The 13,992-nt window shown below is 40.5% G+C and overlaps 1 protein-coding gene across 12 annotated transcripts in view, besides 2 other annotated features; it reads right to left on the bottom strand.

The window, feature by feature from the left end:
• Positions 1–13,992, bottom strand: part of ADAMTSL3 (ADAMTS like 3) — a 385,720-nt gene that overhangs the window by 344,360 nt on the left and 27,368 nt on the right. The gene's annotated exons all lie outside the window — the stretch shown is intronic.
• Positions 1,626–2,126: an enhancer, noted in NCBI's record as "H3K4me1 hESC enhancer chr15:84362109-84362609 (GRCh37/hg19 assembly coordinates)". NCBI's record gives its function as "activates a minimal SCP1, AML or CMV promoter by ChIP-STARR-seq in naive H9 embryonic stem cells {active_cell/tissue: H9 hESC(naive)}" and the evidence as "EXISTENCE:reporter gene assay evidence [ECO:0000049][PMID:30033119]".
• Positions 2,127–2,627: an enhancer, noted in NCBI's record as "H3K4me1 hESC enhancer chr15:84361608-84362108 (GRCh37/hg19 assembly coordinates)". NCBI's record gives its function as "activates a minimal SCP1, AML or CMV promoter by ChIP-STARR-seq in naive H9 embryonic stem cells {active_cell/tissue: H9 hESC(naive)}" and the evidence as "EXISTENCE:reporter gene assay evidence [ECO:0000049][PMID:30033119]".

The raw sequence follows: 13,992 nt of genomic DNA, 5'->3' as shown, positions 1-13,992 counted from the left end.
GTGAGGTGGGCAGGGCCTTGCGAGTGCTTCCCTTACTCAGAATGAGCTGTTTACATGGACAGGCTCCTTCCCGGAGTTTAAATCTATCACAGGAAGAATCTCTTTAGCAAACTGGAATTTTCATAGCACCACTCCTCCTTCTGCCACAAAACATGCATTTTCTCTGGAATTTTCTCTCTCCCTCTCTCTCCTTCCCTCCCCTTCTCAAAGACCCCACCACCACACACACACACACACACACACACACACACACATTACACACACACACACACACCACAAACGTATCATGCACATATCATGCACATCACATGCTACATACATACACACACACATACCTACACCACAAATATACCCCCACACACACACACCACACATGCACACATACCACACACACACCCCACACACTACATACATGCACACGCCACAAATACTCCAAATACATATACACCACATAGCACACACACTGACTCCCACATCCCTAGTTAGCATTGGCAAGCAGGGCCCAGATTAATCAGTGAAAAGATCTTGCTAGAACACATTTCACCTTTCAGTTCCCCAAAAGGAGAAAACCTAAACATGGAGTTGTATGACTTCTCTACATATCTGAACGTTCTTTAGTGCTCAGCACTGGGCTTTATACATGGAAGACCTTCAGTAACTAACATCTTTTGTAGGAAAGCCAGCCCAGGTTGACCCTCTCCCCGCAGAGCCTGCATGCCTGCTGTCTGAATATTCTCTGCACCACAGAAGGCCCAAAGGCTCTGGCTGAGTAGCATGCTGGCATTTCACAAGGGGTTATTTAAAAACTCAACTATTCCTCCGAATGGGGAGCGGAAAGAAAGCCTTGCCCTGCCAATATACACAATGCAGATCCTCTTTCCCTAGAGCCCGCCCCCCAAAAATTTTACTTAAGAGTCCATTTTTCAAGACCTTGAAGTAAGCTGACCTATTGGAAACAGCCTCAATTAGCAAAATGTCACATGGAAATAAGTCTACTTTAAAGTTCCCCAGGAAAAAAACTGAAAATAGTATTCTATGAACAGGGCTCCATTGCTAGAGAAAAAAACGAGGTGTTTGTCTCAAATCTTGATAAATTGTAAACTCCCTACCTCACTCTCCGCCAGCCTCCCCCTCCTCCTGGTCTAGCCACTCGGTGAGGGGTGACACCGTTCCGTTCCCACCAAAGCACCCAGGAGAGAGAGAATGCTGGTTATTTGTTATCCGAGGGGCATGAGTCACTGTTGGTGAGAGTAAGTGCTGTTTGTGAGAGCTACCAGAAAAAGTGCGGTGCAGAAGGGAGGTGTTTTCTGGTGGATCTTGGTCTTTCCCAAAAATCGCTTCCACGCCCTGACAGGAATTCCGTGTTGAAGAAGAACATGCTCTCAGGGCCCCATCTAGGCAGTGGAATCTGCACTTTGATCCTCCAGTGAAGCATGTATTTTCCCACAGCCTCTTCACCACTAACACTCATCATTATCTCTCTGGCAGAGAAAAGGCATCTTTGTCTTTTAAATTAAGTACAAATAAATATTTTATTTTACCCAAATGGTTGCGGGGGGAGAATCTCAAAAGAATGGAGTGTTAGGTTAATTCTTGGGGTTCACAGGACCCATTCAATCACTCAGCATATGTTTATTAAGCACCTACTATGTGCCAAGTACTATTTTTGCTACTGAGAGTTCAACAGTCAACAAAACAGACAAGAATCACTTTTCCCAAGGAGCTCATATTCTAACTTGGGGAAGCAGAAATAAACATAATAGAGAAGTAAATTGTATACTATGTCATATGGGAAAAGGAAATCCAAAGTGCTGGGAGATGGGGTATAAATTGCAGCTTTAAATAGAGTGTTCAGGGCAGACCAGAGTAGGTCTAGGTTCCTTAAAGAATCACTTTTTTTTTCTGATTATCTAAACTGACAAGTTGGATCTTGCCATCTTCCTTGGAGATTTCAAAGGGTCTATACTCTCTAGGAACCTGGCTGGGACCTGCAGGACGCTGGAGTCCATCTGCCTCTACCCAAGGCAGTAGAGTGACCCTTTCCTCCTTGGTCCAAGTACTCTGCCTCCACAGCCCTCCAGCTCCAGCCTGGCCAGGCCCGAGCATGGCTGCTCCCCAAGCACCTCCTGCCTCCTGGACCAGTGGGGGCCTCTGCCATCCTGCTGTCCCTGGCTGTTCTCCTGGCCATGCTTCTGCCCAGTGAGACATAGCCCAACAATGCTCACACCTTATAACACCAGTGCAACCGACATATGCAGAAAACATCCATGTCAACAACTGATTAATTATGCAGACATGACGTTCTTGTTGCCAACCTCAGAGACCATTACTGAGTATCAGACAAATCTGTGTATATTCTCACGCATGCATTTGTGTTAATTCAGTAGCAAAAAAAATAAAAAAGAAGAAAGAAAGAAAAAAAAAGCATTACCAGCTCTTCCCAATTTGGCAATGAGACACCTCCCAACCTGACAAAGTCCAGAAACACGTCGGGGACACATTCATGTTTATTCAAGGTCTTTCTCACCCCTACAGCTTTATTTCTTTCAGGAAACAGCTCGTCTGTGTGGCTGAAATCATGCAGGCTTTCAAAATGCAGCCTTCCAAGAGAAGAAAAAGACAGAAATGTGCTTTTTGCACATACTCCGAAAAACGTTTATATTCATCTTAAGCTGGTTTGTTTTTCTAAGCTTTTCAGGGCAGGAAGTGTTCAGTGTGAACACATCAGTGGAGCTGCCAGATTTGCTGTTTGGATGCTCATGGCTTTCAAAATTCTTTTTTTTTTTTTTTTTTTTTTGAGATGGAGTCTCGCTCTGTCGCCCAGGCTGGAGTGCAGTGGCGCGATCTCAGCTCACTGCAAACTCTGCCTCTCAGGTTCATGACATTCTCCTGCCTCAGCCTCCCCAGTAGCTGGGGCTACAGGTGCCCGCCGCCACACCCAGCTAATTTTTTGTATTTTTCAGTAGAGACAGGGTTTCACGGTGTTAGCCAGGATGGTCTCGATCTCCTGACCTCGTGATCCGCCCACCTCGGCCTCCCAAAGTGCTGGGATTATAGGTGTGAGCCACCGTGCCCAGCCTCAAAACTCTTAAACAAGCAAGACGATAGGAAGACAGAGATTTAGAGTCAGGGTGTCTTTGTTCAATGTATATAAAATGGCATCACTCTCATTTCTATAAACCACAAAAAAAAAATCCTTGGGGGTTAGCAGAACATATTAAAGACTTCTTAAAAACAAAAGGTGATGTTTTTATAATATTAAGATGCTAACATCAACCCCTGCAATACAATGGTAACAAAGCCATATTGGAGTCATAAATCAGCAGGAAAAAAAAAACTGTTACAAACATACTATCTTTTGTTAAAAGAAAAAAAAAAGAAGAAGGCAAACTACAGTCTATGATCCAAGCAGTGTGTTGGGTGCAATACAGGTTTCTGACTTTAAGTTGGCATATTTTAAGGTATACTTTAAATTTCTTAATATATGGAATTATGAATACTTTTCTTTTGGTTGCTTAAAACATCATCATACCATTCTATATTTATTTGACATTAAAATGTCACTTGGACGCTGGGCGCCGTGGTTCACACCTGTAATCCCAGCACTTTGGGAGGCCAAAGCGGGCAGATCACTTGAGGTCAGGAGTTCGAGACCAGCATGACCAACGTGGTGAAACCCGTCTCTACTAAAAATACAAAAATTAGCTGGGCATGGTGGCAGGCGCCTGTAATCCCAGCTACTCGGGAGGCTGAGGCAGGAGAATCACTTGAACCTGGGAGGTGGAGGTTGCAATGAGCCAAGATCGCACCATTGCACTCCAGCCTAGGCAATAATGAAACTCCATCTCAAAATAAATAAATAAACGAAGAAAAGAAAATGTAACTTGGTTTTGGGTTTGAATAAACATTGGACTCATTAGTAGTAGATATTTGGAAAATCACACAAACTAGACAAACTTGGAGACACTGGACATCTGTTATAATATATTGGTGATGGCTGCTCAAATTTCAAAAGGGAGCCAGGCTTGCAGTTGGGAGCCCAAGCGCCCAACCCACCTCTGCAAGAAAGTGACCATATGGCTCCTGACACGACCTTTCAGGTCTCCAGGTCTTACTCTCCACACTGCTAAAGGTGGGCAACATGTGTTAGATGAACTCCAAAATTCTCCACAGCGGAAGGAAAGCCAGGCAGGAGGATGAAGGTGCAGTAATTTTGTCTCTCTACTGTATATTTCTTAATTACCAAAGTAATACCATTGATGTGAATTTAGAAAAAAAGTTCCCTGAGGAGAAAAATACCCAGCAGTCAAAAAATAAAACTCTGGTATCCTTTGTCATGAGAATCATTGCATTTTCTTAAATCAAAAGGAGGCGCAGGAGAGAAAAACTGCACAGTGCCCCTTCACCGACTCAAAGAGCCCTCAGATAGAGCCACACTCAGCTCAGTGATAAAAGGAAAATGTAGAATAACCTCACGATAAAAGAATCAACATTGAACCCTAGCTTATTTCTTCACCCCACTGCTACTGGTGAGAGGAGGCAGCTTGCATATTTTGACAAGGCATATTTGTGCTCCCAAGGCTTCAGTTTCCTAAAATAATGTATGTGATAGTGTTCTTTAAACTGTAAGAAGCTGTACAAATGTATGATATTACGATTGTTGTAATCACAAAGTTCTAAAGGCAAGGTTTTAATGTAAGCCTTAGTACTACTGTACAAGCATGCGTCTTGTCTGGTGCTAGCCATGAGAGACGGAACAAGACACTCCATGCTCCCATGGAACTCACTGTCTGGGATTGGGTGTGGAATGAGAAACAGACAAGCAAATAGGCAATTCTGAAGCTATGTGACAAGGACTATCCAAGACAGGGAAGAACAGAGTGCTAGGGGGGCACAGGAGCGTAAGTGTCACACATGGCATTACAGAGGCAATGACCACAAAGCTGAGATGTAAAGAACAAGTAGGAATTAGCCAGAAAAATGGAGAGGACAGAGGAACAGATCTTCTAGAACAACAGGGGCATAATGAACAACACAGGCAAGGACAGGAGACGGGGGGCAACAGTCCAAGTTGCATGAACGGTGTGTAGCTCTGCAGAGCTGGATTTCAGAATGTGGGGGAAGTTGGGAGAAGAGAAGTTGGAGAGGTAGGCATGGGCTGGATCCTGAAGGGGCTCTGGAAGGCAGACCATGAAGTCCGTGTTCATCCTGAGGAAGCACTGGAGAGATATTAAGTAGAGAAGTGAAATTATTATTATGAAGAATGGATGGGAGGGTAAGTGATACAGAAGGCAGGGAAACTAGTGAGGCCGCTGTAACATTCCAGGAGACAAATGATGGGGCAATGAGGATTGAGAGGAAAATGAACCAGAACAAAATAACATATCTCAGAACTCAAGAAAAAATTATCCTAATATATTTGAAATATTGGGACAAGTGGCAAAGTTTCAGACAAACTATGTAATTAACCAAAACTGACTCCAAATAGAAGAGGAAAATCTCAATAGTCCTTTAACCAATAAAGAAATGGAATCCGTTTTTTACATTCTTTCCATAAAGAAAACAATACAACCACAAGGTTTTACAGGTGTGCCCTACAAAACATGTGTGCTCTACACAACATTCAAAGTATAAATAATTCTCATCTTTAAAAAAAAGAAAACTCTTTCAAAGAATAGTAAAAGAAAGGAACACCCAATAATTCATCTTATGAGTTTATTATGCTCTTGAAAACAAAACCAAATAAGAATAATAAAAGAAAAAAATCACATATCAGTCTCACTCTAAAATGAAGGCAGATTTCTAAATAAAAGACAAAATAAATCTAACATTTTACAAAAATAAACCATCAACAGTAGAATGAATCAATAAATCGTGGTGTATTTATACACTGGAATACAATAAAGCAGTAAAAATGAGTGAGCTCAGCTTCACAGGTCAACAGAGATGAAATTTAAAACTACAATACTGAGCAGAATAAGGCAAGGTATGATTCCATTTGTATAAAATCCAAAACAGTGACAGCAAAAAATGATATATTATTTAGGGATACATACTCAAATGGTAAACTATAAAGATAAGGAAGTATAAAAACTAAATTCACCTTTGCTGTGCATACATCTGAGCAGAGAGTAGGAGAGAGTAAGGAAAAGTCATACAAGAAGCTTCACAGGTATTGATACTGTTCCATTTCCTAAGCTCCACGGTAGGTACCTACATGTTCACTATGTCATTATTACTGAGCCATCTTACGTATTATTGTGCAGTTGGGCACTACACAAATTTATATGGCCATCTTCCTTTAAATATCACGTTATATGAATTCTTTTGTATATACATTTTATAATAAAATAAGTTTTAGGCCAGGTGCAGTGGCTCACACCTGTAATCCCAACATCTTGGGAGGCCAAGACGGGTGGATCACTTGAGCCCAGGAGTTCGAGACCAGCCTGGGCAACATGGTGAAACTCCGTCTCTACAAAAAATGCAAAAACAAAAACAAAAAAATTAGCCTGCTGTGGTGGCACACACCTGTAGTCCCAGCTACCTGGGAGGCTGAGATGGGAGGATCACCTGAGCCCAGGAGGTGGAAGCTGCAGTGAGCCAAGATCATGCCACTACACTCTAGCCTGGCGACAGAGCAAGACCTTGTCTCAAAAAAAATTAATTTTGTTTTAAATCAGGCATGTGTGTGTGTGTATGTGTGTGTGTGTGTGTGTGTGTGTGTATATATATGCATGTGTATACTTAACACTAGATAGTTTTTTTTGTATCAATGAGAAAGTGGTGAATTATTTAATAAATTCTTCAGCTCAATAGATAAATAAGGAGGAAAATGAGTAAACACAGATCCTCCCTCAATGCACCTAAAACAATTCCATAGGAATAAAAGAACGTAAAGGTTAAAAATATACAAATAAATATAATTTCACTATTTTCTAGAATTAAGAATTGCAAAAAAAAAAGAGTCTGTTATCAATCAGATTGTTTTCCCATTATGAGTTACTTTTCTTTCATCTGGAGTTTTTGAACATATTTGTAACAGCTGATCTAAAGTATCTGTCTAATATGTCCAACATCTGGCTTCCTAAAAGACAGTTTTTATTAACGGCTTTCTTTTCATGTTATGGGCCACACTTTGCTGTTTCATTGTGTGCCTCATAACGTTTGGTTGAAAACTAGAGAGTTTAAATAATATAATGTGGCAACTCCAGAAATCTTTTCATCTTCCTCCTTAGAAGTTAGAAATTTTACAGATTAAGTATATGTCTCAGTATGCGTCTTTTCTCATCAGTCCTGACTGTAAGCCAGAGAGTGCACCCTTTGAGATACAAGTCTTCCTTCATTCAAGGAAACTTTCTAACAGTTGTTTCATTATTGCCCCTTCTCCATCCATTCCTTTCCTCCTGCTGCTTCTATTGTTTGAACGTTAAGGCTTCTAAAACTGTTCTCCAAGTCTCTTAGCTTTTCCCTCATGCTTTACACTTTGTGGTTTTCCACTGTGTTAGATGGTATTTCCTCCACTTGGCTTTCCTTCAACTCATCCACTGAATTTTTGCTTGGAAAATCTCATTTGATTTTTAGTTTAAAAAACTGGTGTTGGGCTGTAGTGGAATCTCCTTACATACTCTTAGTTGGTGGCTGTTCCAGTTTTCCTCCATCCCCGCCATCAGTACTGTTTCAATAAGAGCCATCTGTTCTGGATATATGGCCTGTTATTCCTCCTTCTGGCTGCTAGGCCCCCTAGGTGTGCTGCTTTCATATTCTTTCACATACACAATCTAAGAAGTAATATTGAAGGATATTTTGAAATCATATGTAGCTTATCAGTATGTTAACGGGGAGGGGGAAGCTGTAGGCTATGTAAAGATTAAACTCTACATTGGTTATCTCCTTGCAAGCAAAAGAGGACAGAGGATGTAACAGCTAGCTGTGGTCTGAGTGATGGAAGGAACAAGATAGGGCAAGATATACTGATCCCACCTTTTCCCAGGAAGTCCTAAGAGCTGCACTGTTCAGTAGAGTAGCCAGTAGACACACGTGGCTATCATACATTCTAAATGCAGCTAGTCTGAATTGAGATGGGCTGAAAATGTAAAATAAGTACTTGATTTCAAAAGACTTAGTAGGACAAAAAGTAATGTAAAATATCTCATTTAGGATTTTCATACTGATTACATGTTGAAATAATATTTGGATATATTAAGTTAAATGAAATATGTTACTAAAATTAATTTTCACTTGATACTTTCAACTTAATTTAATTTTATTTTATTTTAGAGATAGAGTTTCACTCTGCGGCCCAGGCTGAAGTGCAGTGGTACAATCATAGCTCACTGCAACTTCAAACTCCTGGGCTCAAGGGACTCCCCCACCTCAGCCTCCTAAGTAGCCAGGACAACAGGACCTCCACTATGCCAGCTAACTGTTTGTTTGTTTGTTTGTTTGTTTGTTTGTAGAGACAGGGTCCTGCTGTGTTGCCCAGACTCATCTCGAACTCCTCAACTCAAGTAGTCCTCCTACCTCAGCCCCTCAAAGCACTGGAATTACAGGTGTGAGCCACTGAACCCACCCCTTTTAGCTTATTTTAATACAGCTACTAGAAAATGTACAGTTATATATGTGGCTTGCATTACATTTTTATGGAACAGTGCTGCTATATAAGATCCTGGAGTAGTTCTTACTTCCCTAAAAGTTCTGAGGAGAAGGAAAGGCACTGATTTAAGTCAGGCAAGTGTTTCCAATACATTTTACTCACCAAGATGCAGTCTTTGGTTCAAGACTAAGGAGATGATACCTAAAGGGGCTTCACAAAGGAATAATCAAGACCTCGTGGCATTGCAGACTCCATACCTAAGAAGGGCTCCCACCCACACATCAATTATTAGCTCTGCCACCAACCTCAAACCACTGTGAAAAGACCTAACTGCAAGAACACCACATAGAAGAATCCCACAATGAAACTGAACAACTAAATCATTTGATTCCTGAGCAGGAAGCCATAAAACAGCACAAATGTTCTAACTGCAATGTTGTGCATAATCCAAGACATGAAGTTTCTTCCATTTCTTCCATTTTTAGCAGCTGCAACTCAAGCATAATTCAAAGTGTGACTATATCTATTTCTGACACTTGGATGATATCTCATCATTACCACAAATCTGTTTGTCCCCTCCCATAGCAAGTCGCTGCCCACAGTAAAACACTGACCGATATGATTGGTTGTGTTCAGGAGTAAGTGAAATGCAAATGAATCACAAAGTTGCTTGTGAGAAAACCGGTCTATACCCTTCTTTAAAAACAGCTCAGTTTTGATGAAAAGCGTCTTTAAGTGTTCAGAAGGAAAAATGGTGTAGCTGCTTGCCTGCATCTACTCAGAGGTCTGTGACAGGTTGTAAAAGAGAGGCGTCTGCTACTTGGCTTAGGGCAGAAACCCAGGCTGTGGAGAAGAGGCCAGACCAGGAGAAGGAGGAGGGAGGACGAGCTAGCTGCCAGCAAGAGGCTGGAAAGAGCCCATTGCGGGGTTTCTCTACGTACCGGGGGAAGTCACAGGGAAAGGCAGTTTCATATTCCTGGGGCCTCACTTTCATTTTGCTGTCCTCAGGGAAGATAAAAGAGAAAGAAGAAACAGCTACCTTATTAAATGACTATGACATGCCAGGCATCTACTAGATGCTTGGCATAGTTTATCTAAATTAATCTCACATCAACCCTGCACAAGGAAGTTAGTATCATCTCCGTTTGAGAAAGAGGGAAAGAAATGAGGTTCTGGAGGTAAAGAGAGCTGTCTAATATAACAGTTAGAATGTGGCACAGCCCATTGGAAAACTCATTCATTTCCTCTTCCCAGAGCCATACAGGATATAAAATAATTTTCCTTTGGGCGAAAAACAAATGAAGTTAAACATTTAGAAGAAAATATAAGAGGAAATCTTTGTGGCATCAAAGTAAGAAGGGATTTCTTTAAAAAGACACACAAAAAGGCAAACTATAAGAGACAAGATCAGTAATCATCCTTCCATTCACTGATTCAACAAATATTTCTGAACATCTGACAGTTGTCACACACTGCCCCAGGCACCTAGGATACATCACTGAACAAAAGAGACCAAAAGCCCTGCTGTCCAAGAGCTTATATTTCTAGAGAGAAACTACAATAAATACAAATAAACATTTTTGTTCACCATTAAAGATAAAAAAAACAGGCCAAAGACTGAGAAAAGGTATATAACCAACAAAGAATTTGTATCCAGAATACATAAATGATGTGTACAAATAAACTAAAAGAAGGAAAAAACAAAAACAAAAAAACCCTTAAGGGCAAAAGAATAAGCAATTCGCAGAAGTAGAAAGGCAAACGCCAGTAAACATGAAAAGATGGGTATTTCACTAGTAATCAGGGCAATATAAATTATAATACTGAAGAGATACCATTTTATAACCATGAACTGGCAAAAAAGAAAAAGCCCGACAATATCAAGTACTGAAGATAATATGGTACAACTAGGATTCTTAATTGTTCAGTTAAACTATACATTGTTGCCATATTTTACCTAATAATTTTTCCAAAAGCTAGTAAACCTCAAGATGGGTGTATCATTTCCCCCAGCAATTCCACTCCTAGGTATAGACCTTAGAAAAATGAACATATATAAAGAAGATATATAGAATTGTTTGTAAAAAACAAAATTGAAAACAACTAAATGTACAACAGGAGAATAAATAAAGAATTCTGATGTCTTCATACAGTGAGATACTACACAACAGTGAAAATAAATGAATTAAAACTATATTTAACAACATGAATAATCTCACTAACATAATGCCCAGTAATTGAAGCACGTTACAGAATACTCACAGTATAATTGTCTTATATAAAGTGGGTTTTTTGGTTGTTTTTTTTCCCTAGAGATGGGGTCTTGCTATGTTACCCAGGCTGGAGTGCAGTGGCTATTCACAGGCACAACTATAGCACACTACAGCCTCAAACTCCTGGCCTCAAGTGATCCTCCTCCCTCAGACTCCCAAGTGGCTGGAACTTCAAGTCCTAGCCATTTATATAAAGTTTTAAAAGTACAAAATAACAATGTATATTTTGTTTAGAAATATGTAGCAAAAGTATAAAGAACAGGAAAGAAATTATAAACTTAAAATTCAGAATGGTCATTTCCTCTGAAGACAAAAGGGAGAGGAAAAGGAAAATGTGGCTAGGGTTTTGTGTTGACAAAGTTTTATTTTGCAAACTGGGAAGTGGTAAATGTGTGTGTCTGTATTATTTATTTAATCCATTTAATTATTAACAAACTAAGCAGAAATCTCCAAAAACTTATAATATCTATGAGACATAAGCAAGGATGCTGACAAGATAAATTAATGTTATCCTTGATAGGTTGTAAACAAGTAATCTTTGCTTCAGGTTTCAAATCTACTATGAAGCTCTAAGGTTGGAATACCAACGTGAAGTTTTTAGCCGGGGACATATGTATGGCCTAAAATACTATTATGCAAGGGAGAAAACATAAATGTTTTTACTAAAAGCAGAATGAGAAAACAAAAACAAAATGATTAAGTGTCAGGCTGTCAAAGCCTAAGCCAGATCTTTAAGATGTCTTAGGGAAAAACACAGCTGTATGAGAAAACAATAGCAGCTCCTATATGAGAAGCTCAGGTGTTGAAAGTATGAGACAAGTGTGGAAAGGGCCATGGAATGGAGCGCTACTGACCTTAGAGACTGAGGGTGTGAAGGAGGCGCCGGGTACAGTACTGGATGGACAGGGACTCCAGATGCAACAAGGCTGCCAGGAACTGTTTTCTGCTACTTAGGTCCTGTTGCCTACTTACCTCCTCAATTTGACGTGGACTTCTTCCAGACAGATACCATATGCTCAAATGAGTCTTCATTATGTCCCAGGATCTGCTCTAGATTGTGTGAGGGGCCCAAAGGTAAAATAGACATAGACCTCAAGGAATGGGGAAGAAAAGTCAAATGGGAAGTCCAACGAAGGAGAAAAGACATGTGTAGAAATAATTACATGATGGGATACAAAAACGGGGAGATGTATGCCAGTGGGAGGATTGGGAAAGACTTTGTGGATGTCTTGAGTGTTGAAGGATAGCTAGGATTAACAATAGAGGAGCAGGGAGGAAGGACTGAGAGGAGGGGAAAATAAGAAGAGGAAAGCATGGAGCAGTGCAAGTTCAGTTTGACTACAGCCTGAATACACAATTGGCCACACTATTTGGAGGAAACAACAAGCCACATGCAAGGGTAAAGTAAAAACTCAGTAATACCTATCTTCATGGCTGCACACAGAAGGTCTGAGCAAGTATCAACCATCTTTCATTCTCCCCACTAATGCTGGTTTCATCTTGGCTCAAAGGAATGACCAGTTTTGTTGAGCCAATGCCTTAAATTGAATTTGTGGCCAAAGTCCAAATATTTCCAAGTGAATTTCCTTGTACTCTTAAACCTCTGAAAAACATCAGGCAAGCTTTGATGGCCTGCCTGGGATGTCTTTCTCACCACTAGGCAGTTTAGTCCACCAGACAATAGGCTGGGTAATCACCCAGGGAGAAAAGTTAATGGGAGGCAAATCAGAATAGAGTCACATTTCTTTACGAGTTATAAACAACACATTTTTGTAACTGAAGAAATAAACATAGCTCACTTCTAAGAAAGCAAACATTTGTAGGAAAGTCATTAGATGACATCTGCTCTCTAATGGAAAATTTAAGGAAAACAGTGTGATTCAGGCCAAGCCAAGGGAAACACCAATTAGTATTATTTAGACTACGGCACTATCATGCTTCCTTGTACAATAAACAAACACTGAATCTCCTTACCCTTTAACACCAATGTTCTCCCATGAGACACCAACTTAGTTCCTCTTCCAATATACTAGTCATCAATCTACTCAGCCATTTGTGCCAACAGCAAGGACGAGTGACATTGGTAGGCTCTTCTGGAAGACCTAACATATCTCAGAGAAAAAGGATAAAAAGACATGGAATAGAAGAATGGGATGGTGAAAGAGTGACATACGACAGAGAAAGAGCAAAGGTAAATGCATCTAAGGTAGTGTGACAAGTAGAGTCCCCTACCTGCTACCTTCTGGTCTGGATACCACAGGTTTTCCAGAACAAGACATCTGGTGAGCTATAGGTGTAGATCTGCTATTAGTTCTGACCCTCACTTGTCCTGTGAACCTTGGGCAGGTCTGTCTCAGGCTCCATGATCTCTGATGCTCTCTTTATCCCATCCCTGAGTCTCTAAATCAACTGGCCAACCATAAATTATGCCAGAGAGAATACAGAGAAGCCTGCTACATACAGCCAAGAGCCCTCTCCCAGGGTCACAGAGTCAAGATGCCAGCATTCAGGTAACTAAGATACCCAAGCGTCTCTAGCCAGAAATTGTCCAAAACAACTGAAGAAAAACAGAACAAGAGAATATCAAAAATAGTTCTGAAATTGGAAACAATGCCAACTATACAACACAAATTTTAAGGTGTTTTTGCTAGATCAAGTACAGGTAGGATCAAATAAAAAAAGAAGTCACTAAGGACAGATTTTTAAATGTCCATTCTTAGGAAAAGAGGAGCAATGTTATGGGGAGTAAATAAATAAAATTCTAGAAGTATCCTTGATATGGAGGGTTAGCAGCTGAAGACCATGACAGGGCACAGGGGAGACGGGAACACCTTCACTTGAGGTCTCTCTCTTTCTCTTACCATGCACCGACAGCAGTTAGGGAAATTGGGAAAGCAAGTCGACCACATCCAATGTGAGTCTGTAGTTAGGGCTGTCCATGACCCCAGCTTCCACAGCCAGCCCTTTTAGAGTGCTATTCAAACTATTTAATCCACAGGCACTAACCAATCAGAGAAATGTCAACCAGAACTATTGATATGTCTAGGCTGGCAAATATTTGCCTAACATTAATCCCGAATCCATTCTTGATCACCTTAAAGATGAATTTCTAGGGCACAAAAG

The sequence above is a fragment of the Homo sapiens genome, chromosome 15 (genome assembly GCF_000001405.40).
Source record: "Homo sapiens chromosome 15, GRCh38.p14 Primary Assembly".
In the NCBI taxonomy this organism is placed as follows: Eukaryota; Metazoa; Chordata; class Mammalia; order Primates; family Hominidae; genus Homo; species Homo sapiens.
The sequence above is the reverse complement of the archived record's forward strand: the minus strand, read 5'-3'. Positions and strand labels throughout refer to the sequence as shown.